General features: G+C 34.1%; 1 protein-coding gene across 3 annotated transcripts in view; it reads right to left on the reverse strand.

The window, feature by feature from the left end:
• Positions 4,170-17,321, reverse strand: part of ADAMTS20 (ADAM metallopeptidase with thrombospondin type 1 motif 20) — a 199,441-nt gene continuing 186,289 nt past the window's right edge. For 2 of the 3 annotated variants that reach the window (XM_011538754.3, XM_017019979.2), the window contains 2 exons: positions 7,891-7,995; positions 4,170-5,705 (listed from right to left, as the gene is read on the reverse strand). In XM_011538754.3, the coding sequence (XP_011537056.1) occupies positions 5,616-5,705; positions 7,891-7,995 (195 nt within the window). In that variant the 3' untranslated portion in view covers positions 4,170-5,615. The remainder of the gene's footprint in view (positions 5,706-7,890; positions 7,996-17,321) is intronic. The other variant, NM_025003.5, reaches the window with a different exon arrangement.

Consider the following 17,321-nt stretch of genomic DNA (forward strand, 5'->3'; position numbering starts at 1 on the left):
ATGGCAAGGTCTAAATGAAACCAATATTGCGAGATCTAATCCACACATTGGACTGTGGCTAATTCTTTCCAAGGTGAGGGGTGATTGCTAATTCAGAGCAGGTCAGGAGCACAGCAGTGGTGTTCAGTAGAGATGGATGGTGAGAGCATCAGATTTAAGTCAGATGGTCCAAGATGATCTATACTGCAAATAATGTATGGAAAAGCAGAAAGCCTCCTCACTTTCCTTGGGACTTGTGTTTCCAAGAGGCAGCACTTCCTCTACTCCCCACTACATACACAAAATGTTTGTATGCCTTAGGATTAGTTTACAAAAGTATTGACCCCACAGGTCATCATGACAATAGTAATGATAGCTACCATTTATGAAAACTTATTATGTACCTGACTTAGTGCAATATTTTACATATTAATATCTGCAACAAAATGAGACAGGTACTATTAACATTCCCATGAAATTCAAAGAAATTAAGTGATTTTCCCAAGATCACAGGACATACATAAGCAGTAGAGCTGGAGTTTTGACCTCAGAACCAGTCTTCTACTAACTATAATGCTTTCAAAGCTGCTTTCTATATTTAAAATAAAGGGATTTTGCTAATTGGGCCATTTGTACTACTGAAAACATTTTTAGAAGAATAGCTCATTTAACTTCACAATTTTTATGCTAGGAAGGTAAGCAAGACATTTTTTCTTCTATTTGTTTTGCAATTGAGAATACTGAAGTTCAGATTGTATCAGTGTTTTGCTATGAGACCACACATACAAAAAGTGGCAGAGCACATCAAAAACTTGGGTTTTCTTAATTATAAAACACTGGGTATAAAACTGTGAAGGGAGTAAATCTTTGCTTTGACATATGTAAATTGAACAGTTTTCTGTATCACAAAAGTGAAGAGTAGATTGATAAGCTACCCCTGAACAGTTTTTTACTCATATTAAATACCAAGTAGCTTTACACATTTAACAAATAGTAACTGCTTACTAGTGCACCAGACACAATTTATACATATAAACTTTCACAGCTGAAAAGTACCTTAGAAGCATTTGTTTTGAATTTCTGATTTTATAGCTGAGGAAAAAAAAAACCCAAGTGGTGAACTTATTCAATGTTACCTTATTCATTACTGCTACACCCTGGTCCAGAAAGCCTCTGTTCACATTCCACATTTCCCCCCTTTACAGAATAAAAATTCCTGAACAAAATTATTACATGAAAAACTTCTTTATTTTCTCCTGGAGGTCAAGGAAGATTTTGTATTAAGAATGTTCTCAGATTGAAGTTGCAAAAAGAATGCATGTATGTATGAATGTAGGATATTAATATAGATGTCGATATTAATGTTAAATTGGGTTAAAGATGACTCAAAGATAGTTCACCTAATGCATTGCAATAGTTGTGCCTCAAGATTTCCAAGAAACTACGGAAGAAATTAGGTTGGCAATTTTTCTTGATTCTTCTGAGGAATCATTATGGCCAGCAGATGCCACTGTTGTCAGTTGTAAATATTCTTTCAAGTTTCAAATATGGAAAATTACTAGAAAAAGGGGTAAGTGAAAAGTAGCAAAAGTAATCCTGTTATCTTTTACAGATTGAGTGGTGCAAGTACTGTATAATTGAATCCTATTATTTACCTTTTAGCAAAATATTTAAGTAAACACTTAGCAAATAAAGACACTCTAAAATTATAAGAAAAAAATTAACAGGGGAAAGAATGAGTTCTCTATGTTTGAAAATCCTACTCATTTTTAAAAATTAGAAGTCCATACGATGGTCAATGTTGGCTGATAGCTACATTTAGTAGCCAAGATATATTTTATCCTGATGAGTGACATTGAGGGAGAATAAAATAAATTAATTCTGTTCCTTCTTGTTATTATAGCATCATAAAACAGTTTTATATTTTTCAAATCTGTACTCAGTTGTGAACAAGTTGTTATTGCAAAATTTATTATATTACTATCTTCTATTTCCATCAATGTTTGTACATGATGTTAGGGTTTTCTTTGTCTGTTTGTTTGTTTGTTTAAAAGATGATCTGGTTCTGTTGCCCTGGCTGCAGTGCAGTGGCACTATCATAACTCACTGCAACCTTGACCTCCTGGGCTCAAGCAATCCTCCCACCTCAGTTTTCAGAGTAGGTGGGATTACAGATGCACACCACCATACCCAGCTAATATATAAAGGATAATTTATAGTATCTTATTTATTTTAAAACACACGTTTAAAGCAAGAATTTATATAAAATTGTATTTGAAGTTTATAACATTGAAGGTAGATTATGATAGGTTAGGGATCTATATTGGAATTCCTGGAGGAAACACTAAAAATAGAGAGAATTACCTGTTTTACAATTTTTTTAAATTGCAGTACTGACTATATTGATTACAATCTCTCAATAATCAATACTACAATTAGAAAAATCAATAAATACATAAAAAAGATTTAAACAATATGATAAACTAACTTGACATAATTATTGATTGGACGGGAAAATGAGATATTTTTGTTTTAATATAGAAGACAGGCAAACATGGTTTTTGAATGAAGAAAAGGAACCAGTGGTGAGAGAAAGGAAAGGGAGACAGAATAATCAATGGAAAGAAGTCCTAGAGAATTCAGAGTGGGAGAAATCAAAGGCAGAGGTTGAGTGATTGTCCTTAGACATGAGCAGGGTAATTGTTTCTCCATCAGGGCATGAACAAAAAAAGATAAAATAGATGCAGGGAGCATGTCATCTTAAATGTTAAACAAGTAAATCGTTGTAAGTTGTGTATTAATATTTGCAACTAATTTAAGGTACAATACAAAAGCATGCTTTTTGGCAAGAGATTCTCAAATGTTTTAAATTGCATCCACATAAAGCTGCTTGGCTTTTATTCAGAAATATGACTTTTTTTTTCTTTCTCTTTTTTGGGGCAAGGGACATGGAGAGGAGACGTATAAGTGGCAGGAAGTTGAAAGAATTTATTTTCAATGGTTTTCTTTCTTGTGAAATAGAAAGTAATGCTATGTACTGAGAATTTGGGGTTAGAAAGGAGACAAAATATTTGAGCAAAACAGCAACACTTTGACATAGACACAGAAAAGTGACAAAGAAAGTGAATTTAAAATAACAGCCCCAAACTGTAAACTTATATTTTTTTGTTCCCACTCTGATGGTAACTGTTAAAAAGCCCTTTAACTTAAAAAAAATCCTAAACCAAAACTGACAAAGATAATAAAAAAGTTATTCTCAGAAAAAGAAGCCAAATGTAAAAAAGTATGAGAGATCCCCATCTACTCTGGTATTCAGATAAATATAAATTCAGACAATGAAATACCATGCTATGTCCCACCAGATTAGAAAACAAAACAAAACAGAAATTCAGGTGTCATTGAGAATGTGGATCAACTAAAATTTTTATTCTCTTCCAGTGGTAATTTAATTTATTTAACCACTTTGGAGGTACTTGGGCAAATTCTAGGGAGTTGAAGATGATATATCACAAGGACCTGCTTCTTGCCTTGGGAGAGATTGTTAAGTCCCCACCCATTTCCATAGATCTGGCCATCCTGCCCTGCAGTACATTTCCCTGCCCCACTGCGTAGGACTTGGTCATGTGATCTGGTTTGGTCACTTGAATCTGAGTAGACACCAGTAGTCCTTGTATATACAAGCTTTCAGAGGCATTGCAAGCTGTTGCCAGGTTTCCTGCCAGGTTTCCTCTGCCATGAGAAGGGCATAGATAGGAGCTGTGCTTCATCCTAACTGCACAAATTTGATTAAAAATTTCTTAGAATTGTCCAGGCACGGTGGCTTACGCCTGTAATCCCAGCACTTTGGGAGGCCGAGGTGGGTGGACTGCCTGAGATCAGGAGTTCAAGATCAGCCTGGCCAACACAGTGAAACCACGTCTCTACTAAAAATACAAAAAATTAGCTAGGTGTGGTGGCAGGCCCCTGTAATCCCCTCTACTAAGGAGGCTGAGGCAAGAGAATCGCTTGAACTCGGGAGGCAGAGGTTGCAGTGAACTGAGATCGTGCCATTGCATTCCAGCCTAGGCAACAAGAGTGAAACTCCGTCACAAAAAAAAAAAAAAAAATTAGAATTTCTGAAGTTTTAGAGTTATAGCTCTTTGCAGTGAAAGTTCTTTTTTTAACATGTAAAGACAATAAAAACAAAGTGCTAATGAATCATAAAAATATGTTTATTTAAATGTTTATCAATTGTAAGATTCTAAATATACATGAAAAGATTCCTGGAAAATGTCACACATTTTGTCTTAATGTTTGTAACTGGCTTAAGGCACATAATACAAAATATTTCTTTTGATACAGACATCTTCAAATGTTTAACCACATTGAAACAAAATTGTATTAGAGCTTTATATGGTACAATACATCTGTAATAAATGTTTGGGAGAAAAACACTTTGTGGGTAAAAAAAGTACACTAGTATTCACTGGCAAAAATCTATTAGTAGATTCCATTTGGTTTTTTTTGGTTTTCCGAGTAGATTTCCATAGAAAAATATATTTGTCTACATGTCTTTCAAAAGTATATTATTATATAATACATGGTTAAATTATCTGCATGAAAAAAACTCAATACCTGAGAATTTGCCAATTAATAGTTAATTTTTATACTCCCTTATGTTCTGGCTTTGAGAAACCTCTGATATAAAATAACTTAAACATCTCTAATAAAACTTTTACATATGCCAATATATTTTTATGTTTACCAAAATAAGATCTTCAAAATTAAAAGAATTCTCACATATTTAATTAATAGAATACAGTACATAACTTTGAGAAAATAGATTTTTAAAGAATATATATACACATACAAGAATTATAAAGGCAAAACAGAATATTAACATTATAAAAACAATGTATTGTTCTTATAAGTACAATCAAATTTGAGGTAGATTTTAAAAATTAAATTATATCATATCTTTATTATACCCACAAAATTTTTTATTTACTATTTAACCCAAACATACCTTTTTAATACACAATTTGTACCTCATTTTGAGGACTATTTTTTAATTGAAGCCCCATAATCCACAAGCAAAAATTAAAGAAAAAATAAAAGAAGGTATCTAAACTGTATGAGTACAAAGTACAATGGCTCTGTGCTTTTTTATGTAACTATTGATTTGCTATTTGTCGGAAAGATTCAATAATGTTTATAGTAATTTTGAATGTTTATTATCCTAATATTTACTTGCTTCATTTTAGCAAGTAGAATAAACATTTCATTGTACAGTACAAAACTGAGCAGAGATTTACATGTGTGTTTATAGGTATAAAATAAGTGTGGTCCAGGCCAAGATGTTAAGAGCAACACTGTCTTGGTATAATTCATTCAATCCTGGTATTCTCTATTATAAATTATTATGTTCTTTAAAAAATATCCTGATTAGATATAAAATAAATTAAGATAGCTCTTAAATTTCTTTTATAGACCTTATTAAGCAGTGATTTGAATCCCTGATGAGCACCCTGAAAAAAAGGCAGAGACATATTGGACATGGAAATCTCGGGAAGGGAGATATAAAGAAATGAGCACCAGTTATTTGAATATTCCAGAGAATATCCCCTCTTTAGGGCATACTTCCCCCTTCTAAATGTTCATATGACTTGAATTGGGAGACCAGTAGTCATGTGAGGAAGACACTTTCCACAGTACCCTCCACATTTGCCGAAAAATCTAGTTCCATCCTGAAAATCGGAAGAAGAAATACAGAAGAATCTTATACAAGCTGGTATCTGTATGCAAATAGCAGAAAAAGCAAATGCTTTGAATCATATGGCTAAAATCATTAGCAGAGGTTTCCTATAACAATTGCATTTGAGGTCAAAGATCATATGCCTTTTGATATTAGTTCAAATTGGTGGACATGGGAAAGTTAAAGGATATTAGATAACCTGAGATTCATATTAGCTAGTTGAATATTATATACAATTTAAATCTCAATTAAGATTTAAATCCAATCCACATATTTCAATCTCAATCCACATATTTTTCATCTAGGTATGTATTTGCTTCAGTGAGTTTATTAAAACCTCTCCCAATTTGCAATCCAGTATTTACATAATTTTATATAATAATCTCTTTAAATAAAAGAAAGATATTGTACAAATGATTTTAAAGGCATATAATTCATTTTCTATCCCATTTATTTCAAGCATCTCGTGGAGGCGTTAGAAACACACTCTGGAGAAAAGTATAGAAGGTGGTAAAATGGAGAAAATAAATAAATAAAAACTGGGCTGAAAGCAATCATTAGAATTAGAAAAGAACTAAAATGGGAGATTGTTCCATAAGCAGAGCAGTTCACTGAGGAACAGGTGGCAGAGGTAGGCTGAAGTGGGTTGGTCAGGACGTGATAGACGCCTCACGTCTTTAGGTCTAAAAGTCAAGACTGAAGACATTTCCAGAACATGAGACAAAAATAGGTTGAACTCCTATCATATCTGGAAAAGGTAATTTTTTTAAATCTAAGGGAGTAAAGATAGAGAAGAAAACTGTAGGTTCTTGGGACATTTTGAGATGGAAGAATGTTTTGAGACCGGAAGCTTTTGAAGTTACCTTCTCTTTCTAAAGCAATTTAACTCTGGAGAATCTGAGTACACAGAGAAGGGAATGGCAGTAAAATCTCAGAGTTGTATAATTCCCTATTCCCTCTGTTGAAGTAAAAACTCTATCTTCATTAAACTTATTGGCAAAGGAAAATATGTTTGCATTTCTGTAAGTATATCTGGATTTTACCAGTCAGTTTCACACCAGGCATCAGATTTCAAGAACTAGTTATGTGCAACATTTTTGATTGAGATAGAACTTCTCAACGAAATGAATAATGAATTAATCTTGAGAAGTTAATAAAAACACAAATCCTTCATTAAGCACAATTTTATCATCTTCAGAAATAGAATGTTTTAAAGGCTATGACTATCAGAATACTAAATTTCATTTATGAGAAATATTTATATAAATAGGAGTATAACTAAATTTACTTTTATCATAATAAATAAAAGTCATAAAACATTAGAGTATACCGGGGCTGTTGCTGGTGCTAATTTATGTGTGATATAGGTGAGAACACCTATAACCTAGATCCAGATTTACTATGAGCAGGGCTATGTTATCTAAGACACAATAACCATAAGTAATAGAAAGCATTTCATGAAGTGTACATGTTAGAACACCATACCTGCAGAAAATTAAGTGGATTCTACTTTGGATAATACAACATGTGCTATAGTTACAATAATTATAAGAATAAACTATAAAAATAGTTATAACTATATATATAAATACTACATAACAGTCTACATTTTCATAGATAAAATAACAATGTTATCTAGATAAAGATAGGAAAACATGAGTACAACATAAATACATAATCCTAATTCTTGAAAAAACTGTGAAGAATATTTGTTAAATGACAAGTGTCTCCAACACCACCCCCATCACTAAAACAGTGAGGGAAGAAAACAAAAAATTTAACCCTCATTTTGAAATATTAAAACCTGTAAACCTTCAGTAATTAAAGTATAGTAAAAAGCATACCTTTCTTGAACATCTGTATTTCAAGTCATTAGCTCCAAACTTGAGATAGACAAAATCTATATGTCCTGGCATTTGGCAATTTATGTTCAAATATCTATAGCCTATATATGGATTCATAAATATACAAAACCTCCACATGCACATTAATACAAATGAATCCTGTTTCATTTCATAAATTAATGTTGTGCTCCATTATATGTAATATACCCATTATATGCAATATCTCTTTAGTCATCAATTTCATATAAGTTTACATTTTAGGTAGAGAACCTTTAATGCTAGTTCATAGCTCAGAAGTATTTCAAACAGGCTTTTTGGTCCCGCAGGACTTACCTCTGATCTTCGTATGCTGACAGAGGTATAACTCCCCTGAGTGAGCCACTTTGCTGTGCTGGATATCTTCATCCCAGTTCCTGACAAATTAATGCTAAACTGTCCCTGGATTGTAAATAAAACAAAGAAAAATAGATGGAATTTACAAAATATTTGATTACAAATAAGTCTTCTCAATTGCAAGGGGCAACTGAATTAATACTATATAATGTTATTTGTGGAGAAGTAACTCTGCCCAACTCTAGGACTCTATGATTCGACAATTAGAACTAATGGTCCTGTAGAAATTAGCAAGTTCTGACAGAAATAGTGTTCACGGGGACCAACATTTGCTGCACTTTAACATTTCTACACGTTCCATTTTTGACCCTTCATTGCTAACTTCTATGCTGTTTCACCTATTTGACATATTTTCCAGAATCTCTGTTATTGCCCCATTCCTTTTGTGGTAAGAATATTACTTCTTAACTCACCACACAAAACTATCTAATATAATATTATTTTCCTGGCAATTACATCCATTTTAAACACCAGAAACAGCGTGCAGATGTGTGATGCCACATGATTTACACACATTATGGTGTGTGGGTCCCCTATGAGCTTCATGATCTAATTCTTTCCAAGTGCAGGACCATTTTTATGTCAAAATACTTCAGACTATCTTTGTTAACAGTTAAATTGTAAATATTAACTGAGAAAATGTGTTATTAAAATAGGTAACATTTGTGTCATATTTATATAATTTTACAGTACAGATTTAAACATTGAAAAGTAGAACTGCAAACAAGTTCAGTCTACTGACAATGTTCAGTAGGCATATAGATTCAGAACAATATTACGACATTCTTTAATTACCTCACAATATCTCAATGGCTTAAGACTCATGAATCTTGAGCAAGATTGTGATGAAACACTGGATTTTATATTATATGAATGAAAATATTATCTTGTCATAAAAGCAAAAGCTAAATAAACTCTGTATATATAATGTGAATTATTAATATTGCTAAAACAAATAGATATCAATTTAGTCATTAACTTGGATTTCTTAGCAATCTTATATTGTATATTTCTCATTTAAAAACAAATGAAGATCAAATATTCGCATAAAACAATGACAATAAATGGAGAATTTTCCATTGCAGAAATAATTAGTTTTAGATAAATTTCAAAGAAAATGTATCACATACAACATCACTTGGTTATGAAATTTAGAATATGAACTCTATGTCAGTTTCATTGCTATATTCCCAGAGCCCAGAACAGGGCCTAAGTTCTCAATAAGTGTTTTTGAATGGATGAATTAAGTGCAGCATTAAAAACATTAAATAGTAGTATTATAAAAGTAAATACACAAATACATATATAAAACTCTTCAGACTCTGATAATGAATGACACTAAAACCAGACAAAGTCGTATTTTATGTTCACAAATATTTGAATAAAAAGAATTGATTCTTAGGATATATTATTCTATTTGATACTTAATCAACCTGATACAGGTTTTGCACTGTATACCTCCAATCTCACATTCCTTCTCAGATAGGTTTTTCACCAAATAAAGTTATTAAAAAATGAAAATATATTCTACCATGTAAATTTCTTGTAACCAGATGCTCCTTGAGTGCTCAATTGGGCCATGCAACCTAATACTGTTGTTCCATTCTTCCATTTGCTCTCTACCTCCCTGATCAATGTGCCTTAAAAATATTCAAATGTATACACATTGGAAGTAAAAGGAATAAATCTGACTGACTACTGAGAGCCTTAGGTGGTCATTAACACAATTAGTTGAGTCTAGAACTATCGATTGTTCCATTTCTCTGTACTAATTTTCATGAGCTTTACTTCTGTTCTTAGTCCTCACTTAGAAAGCTAAATATGATCTCAAAAAAAATGGTAAAACAATTATCTAAAATTTGGTATGATGTTGACGGAGGTAAAAATACATCTCACTCATTTGTTCAAAATTAACTGACTGGCAGACATGGTGTCAAGTACCATGAAAGTTCAGACAGATCTCACTCTAAATCTGTTAAGTGAAATAGCATATGTACCTAAAAAAAGTAATTCGGACGGGCGCGGTGGCTCACGCCTGTAATCCCAGCACTTTGGGAGGCCGAGACGGGCGGATCACGAGGTCAGGAGATCGAGACCATCCTGGCTAACACGGTGAAACCCCGTCTCTACTAAAAATACAAAAATTAGCCAGGCATGGTGGCGCGCGCCTGTAGTCCCAGCTACACGGGAGGCTGAGGCAGGAGAATGGCGTGAACCCGGGAGGCGGAGCTTGCAGTGAGTCGAGATCGCGCCACTGCACTCCAGCCTGGGCGACAGAGCGAAACTCCGTCTCAAAAAAAAAAAAAAAAAAAAAGTAATTCAACAAGAGAACTATAAGTGCCATAAAAAGGTACTTATACATTCCTATAGGATTTTAGAAGTAATAAATAAGTGAGTGTGAATAAGTGTGTTAATTCCAATACTTCATTTAAGATTAAAATTTAAACCTCAAACCTAATCTTTAACTTAAAAATTAGTTCAACATACGAGGTCCTCTCTCTCTCTCACTGTCTCTCTCTCCATACATGCATATGTAGTATGAAATGTCAGGAGAGTAGATACGTAGTATGAAACTTACCTCTTCTTCTACTCTCCTGACATTTTGAAGAAGCAGCCACTAAACAAAGTAAAATTCCAGTAGCCAAATCACAAATGGAAGGTAAAATGATTCAAAAGACCTAGGAATTCAATAAATTGGAATGTTTATTCTTGAGTAACTGGCTGCATCAAAGAAAAAGGTAAGTATGGGTATAAGATAGAGGAGAAGCATATAGATAGATGCAAGTTTTAACGTTTCACTTCTTGGATTGACTGGTTGGTTCATGTGTGCTCATTAAATAATTATGTTTTACAGTTTTTAAATGTACTGTACACATTTTATTATGTATGTAATCTATAGATCTAATATAATACCAATACAAATTTTCCACCCAGAATCTTTGTACATACGGAGAGTTGATTCTAAAATTTATATAGAAAGGCTATGGATTTAAATAGTCGTAATAAGCTTACAAAAGAAGAATGAAGCTGGAGGACCCATGCTACTTTAACACTTATCGTAAAGCTATCCTAATCAAGACGTATGGTGTTGGTGAAGACAGAGACATGTAGATCAAAGGAAAAAAAAGACCCACATAAATATGGCCAATACTTTTGACAAAGGTAGAAAGGCAAATAAGTGGAGAAAACATTGTCTTTTCAACACATGGTGTTAGAACAGCTGTCTGTCTATATGTTTTTGACTCAGACAAAAAATCAAGTCTATAAATCCCTCAGACTTAATACAAAATTTAATTCAAAATAAATTGTAGGTCTAGGTATAAAGCATAAAACTATAAAAAGTTTTTGAAGAAAATTTCCAAAAGGAGAAAAATCTCAGTAATTTGAGTTTAATGATTTCTCAGAAATGACTCTAAATGTACAGTCCATAAAAGAAAAATTTGACTTTATTAAAATTGAAAACTGCTTTGTGAGAGATATTTAAAAGAAAGAAAAGACAAGGTTCGGACTAAAATGCCGTATCCAACAGAAGACCAGAACATATAAAAAAACTCAAAACTCAACCGTAAGGAAACAAACAACTCAATTTTTAAAATGAGTAAGACTTGAAAACACATATCACCGGCCGGGCACGGTGGCTCACGCCTGTAATCCCTGCACTTTGGGAGGCTGAGGTGGATGTATCACCTGAGGTCAGGAGTTCAAGACCAGCCTGGCCAACAGGGTGAAACCCTGTCTCCACTAAAAATACAAAAATTAGCCGGGCGTGGTGGCAGTCGCCTGTAATCCTAGCCACTCAGGAGGCTGAGGCAGGAGAATTTCTTGAACCTGGGAGGCAGAGGTTGCAGTGAGCTGAGATTGTGCTACTGCATACCAGCCTGGGCGACAGAGCACGACTCTGTCTCAAAAAAATAAATAAAAATAAATTTTAAAATAAGCATAAAAAGACAAAGGACATAAAAAGAGAGTAGGGGTAGCAATGTTGATAAAAGATAAAGGAGAATTTGAGTCCCCAATCATTAAACCATGACAAGGAAGTGCTAAAAGTAATAATCCATAAAGAAGACATAACACATAATAAATATTATGTATCAAATCATAGAGAACAACTTTTATGAAGCAAAAACTATGAGATATGCATGGAGACACAGACACAACCTAATAATAGGAAAAATCAACATACCACTTGCAGTAACAAGAGAGATCACATGAACAAAAGTAAGGACATGATCTAAACAATGTAATCGAAAGGGTAGATCTTATGGATATATATTAAACTCTACACCCTGATAATAATGAATACACATTCCAAATATCTAACAACTGACTCTTAACATTCAAACTGGATGCTGGCCAAGACCCACTGACATTAGCCGAATATGATTATTTCTCTTACTTTTATGTAATTACCAACCAGTTAAATAGATCCACATTACTTTTGTTTTTTAAAAGTTTTTGTGGCTTTGCAAAAAGTGCAAAACATTTACTTTACTTTACTTTCGACATATGCATTCTAAAGTCACACCACACTCCTTAACTTCATCTCATATTGCAATGTGGCGAAGTTTATTTTCCCTAAAGAGTGCCATATGTGTCCATACTCTTTTTTAGCATTCCTATCCCAGACTATCCTGTCACATGCAAACACAGAGGATTTGGGTTTGATGAATCCCAAACAACAGAATAAGTTCTTTCTGTGACGTCAAGCATCTGGAGAGTATTCATGCAAATGCTGTGTAACATAACACAGAATCTGGTTTATATATTACAGAACATCTCCAAAAATATTGGGCAGTTTGTATTTTTGGTAACAGTAGCCTCAAGGAGACAAATACAGGCTGAATATAGATGGGCACAGCTCCTTTTGACAGCATGTGTCTATGCCCAATAACAACCAATTTTGGAAATGGAGCTTTGCGTTTCAGAAATGCCTAGAAAACCATGCAAGAGAGACATCTCGCCCCAGTGGGCAGGAAGAGCATTTTATTGCCAGTTCTGCCTATGACTTTCTTCAGGATCTTGGACAGACTGTTAACACAGAATGTCTGTTTCTTCAGCTATAAACTGGGCAATCGCAGTTTATAGCTATATAACTTTTTCAAGATCTTATAGGGAAAAAAGAGGATTACAGAGACATTGGAGAAAGGGAGTTAGAAAGAAATGGAAATAGCTATCTTATGATTTAAAAACCTGATTGTGCAAATATCTCATTCAAATTCCATGTACATGAAGAAATATTTTATTTGTAATAATTGGACTTATGTTAAGGTATTTCCTATAAGAAAATTCATTAATAAAATAAAATAAAATTTTAATTCCATTTGACAGTTATATGATTTACTTGTATATGCGTCTCCTGTGATTTTCTTGATGTCTCATTGACCAGACCTTTCCCAATACAACATGTAATGACAAGGACCAGATTTCCAGAACTGGGTGACCTTTCCAAAGTAACAACATTTGTTAGGCCTTGTATTAGCAGACTAGGTTGCATTGTCAATTTACTTATCTCTAATTACATCAAATATATGACCAGAAGGCACAGCTTAAAAGGAGGATGGGTTGTTGGACAAAGTTGACCAGTCTTGAGATAGGTTAACCATTGTAGAATGTATAATCTCCATTTAAGAGAGTTGAAATGGATGTGTCACCAACAAAAGACATCCACATATCAAGGAAAAAACTGTTCAGAATGTTAAAAGTTTTAGATTACACATCCTTGACTTAAGAACACGTATAAAAAGAGACAGTGCAGAACTTCAGGAGAGGAGGGACTCAGCAGAGAAAGGACAGTCCTGGGAAGGCAACTGAATGGAAAGTAGTAGGTCAGAGTCACCATGTTGGAGGTAGGTACTCATCACCAATATGGGTGAAATAGGGAATTGGGAAGAAGAATGGAAATAAATAGGGCTAACCAGCCTCAAAGATTGAATGAGAACATAGGATTCCTCTGCAAAGTTGCCTGCCTTTAAAAATACAATCATGTGAGGAAACACTTCTAGAATGGTGATGTGAGGAGCCCATGGACACTCTCTCCAGTGAAACAAACATGACTGGTGAAAATGATAACTATAACCACCACTTAAAGTCTCTGAAATTTGTTCTATGGTTATACGGAAAAGGGAGAAACATTTATTCAAGAAAATCTTCTTCAAGAAGACATTTATTCAAGAAGAAAATCAAGAAGATTTTCTTCTTGATTTCACCACACCAACATGGCACATGCATACATATGTAACAAACCTGCACATTGTGCACATGTACCTTAAAGCTTAAAGTATAATTAGAAAAAAAAAAAAAAAGGTGAAAAGGGGCCAAGAGCCAGGGAATGCAGGCAACTTCTAGAAGCTGGAAAAGGCAAGAAAACAGATTATCTCCTAAAGCCTCCAGAAAGGAATGCAGCCCTGCTGACTGCTTGATTTTAGCCCAGTATGACCCATTTCGGATTTCTGACTTCCATAACTGTTAAATAATAAATTTGTGCTACCAAGAAAAAAAAAAGAATATCTATTAAATCTAGGTAAGAACAGTGAGAACCTGTGGCATCTGAACCATGACTCACCCTCTTTTCCTCCCACCTCCCATGACTCGCCCTCTTTTCCTCCCACCTCAGCAAGATGATCATTCTAATCATGGTGAATGCAGTTAAGGATACAGGACTCCATTTCCCCCTAGCTCCCTGTTAAGGCTATGGTTTCTCTTTGAGACAGGCAGGCCACCAGCATTTCTCATCCCACCCAAGTCTGTACTGCAGAAGTTGTATTATAGGCAAGAGTAGCTGAGAGTCTGAAGCTCCCTTCTTCCACCCAGTCCCTACTCACAGAGCAGTCAATCTATCCCAGGCATGGTAGATCAAGCACACTAGGCCTGAAATGTCCCCACAAAAAATCACTGGTAAGGCAGACACTCCATGCTGACAAGGTCAAAAGCCAAGAAGACCAGGGATTACTGCCATGACTCAGCACTCTATTTATTGAGCAGGGGTGTTACTCTGAGGAATGGGCCACTGTCCCTGTCCCCAGATCCACAGTATTGCAGAGCTTCTTCCCAGGGAGAGAATCAAGTTGTAAAAATAGGAAATTCACTAGCTTTTCCTATTGTGACTAGCTTATTTGGAATAAAACCTGGAGAAGTTCAAGTTTAGGTACTTTCTGGAAAAGAAGATTTTAGTGGTGTGTTGTTAAGAGGAGGGTAGTAGCTCAATGAAGGCAAATGGTAGATAAGATTGAAGTTTAACAGAGAGAATCAGGGAATGAGGCAGCTAAGAAAGGCTCTTCTTGGGGACTTTCCTGATCTCAAAAACAGACTATAAGACTAATTGAGGCCATGGGGCCTCTATTTAATTGGATCAGATTATGGAGTTATTTATGCCCCCAAAATATTGTTGAAAGAATAGGGAAATCATCTAGCAATTAGTGGAGACTAAGAGCTAAGCATGATATCAGTAGAGACAGACCACGCATAAACTCAACACAATTTCAGGGAAAGAGAACTGAAGAAAGCCCACCTAAGACTATTGTTATCCCTGAAGGAGAGGAGCATCACGGTCACTGTGCATGCCCAAGACTGTGCCCACTGAGGAGTAACATCAAAGGCTGCACACTACAAGGGAAATAGAATTCACTGAAACAGTTCAGCCAGGTAATTAAAAAAAATACACAAACAAAGAAGTAAACGATAACCATAACAAGAAGCCTCAAAAGGGAGGGTGAAATCAGTAATCACAGTTGCTAAAATACAGTACCTGAAATGTCCAGTTTTCAACAAAATTTATGAGGCATACAAAGCATGATGCATACACAGGAAAAAAGTCAAGAAAAACTTCCTTTGAGAGATATCAGATGTCAGACTAAGCTGACAAAAACTTCAAAGCAGCTAATATAAATATGTTCAAAGGACTAAAGAAACCATGTTTAAAAAAGTAAAAGGAGGTATGATAACTGTGTCTCATCAAATAGAGAATAACAATAAAGATGAAGATATCATATTTTACAAAGAGTCAAAGGAAAACTCTGAAGATGAAAAGTACAATAATCAAGATTAAAAAATTCACAAAGGGGCTGAAATTGTCTACTGGAGCTAGTAGAATTCGCAAACTTAAAGGGATGTTAATGATGCAATCTGAAGAACAGAGAGGAAAAAAGAAGAAGAAAAATGAATAGGGCCTCAGAGGAATGAACGCACACCATTAGGTGCACCAACATATGCATAAAAGAAGCATCAAAAGGACAGAAGAATTAAAAAGAGCAGAGAATATATTTGAAGAAATAATGACTGAAAATTTTCCAAAATCAGTGGTATATATTAAAATAATGACTGAAAACTTTCCAAAATCAGTGAAACTTATTAATTTACCCATCCAAGAAGCTTAGTGGACTCCAAGCCAAGTAGACACAAAGAGATGCACATCAAATATGACACAGTAAAGACATTGAAAGACAAATGCAAAGAGAAAATCCCCAAAAACACCAAGAGAAAAAGGACCACATCCATGGAACCCAATAAGATAAACAGCTGACATCTATTACCTACTTAGAAGTCAGACAGCAGTGTGATGACATATTCAAAGTGCTGAAAATAAAAAACTGTACATCAATAATTTTTAATAAGCAAACCTATCATTCAGAAAGGAAGGCAAAATAAAGACACTCCTAGATAAACAAAACTGAGAGGACTTCTTGCTAGCACATCTACTTTACAAGACATACTAAAGGAAGTTCTTCAGGCTGAAATCAAGTAACATCAGACATTAATACAAATCAACTTAAAAAATCAAGAGTGCTGATAAAGTTAATTATGTAGATAATTATAAAATACGCTATAATTGCATATCTCTTCACTTTTCTTATTTTAACTGATTTAAAAGCAATCGTATAAACCAAGGTGTATATAAGTATATTATTGACCTGTAATATATAGACATGTAATATATTTGACAATAATGGCACAAATAAGACAGATGGAAGCAAAGCTGTTTTAGAGTTAGGAAATGACACAAGACGATAAGTCAAATCCACAGGAAGAAATAAAGAGAACCAGAAATACTAAATGAGAAGGTTTACGTAACAAACTCTATGAATATACAATTGCTCTATCTTCTCTCATATTATCTAAAAGACATAAAATTATTTAAGTTAATATAATACCAATATGTTGCAAGTTTGTTGCCTTTATAAATGGTATATGTATAACAAACATAGCAGAAAAAGAGAAGAAATAGGTCATTTATAGTAGTACTGTCTTTATATTTCACTGGAAAGAGAGGAATGTTCAATAGTAAAATGTAAAGTACATTCTGATAAGATATATATTGTAAGCCTTTGAATAACCACTAACAAAGCAATTCAAAAATAATGAAAAAACTGAGGAAA

This window comes from Homo sapiens, chromosome 12 (genome assembly GCF_000001405.40).
Source record: "Homo sapiens chromosome 12, GRCh38.p14 Primary Assembly".
In the NCBI taxonomy this organism is placed as follows: Eukaryota; Metazoa; Chordata; class Mammalia; order Primates; family Hominidae; genus Homo; species Homo sapiens.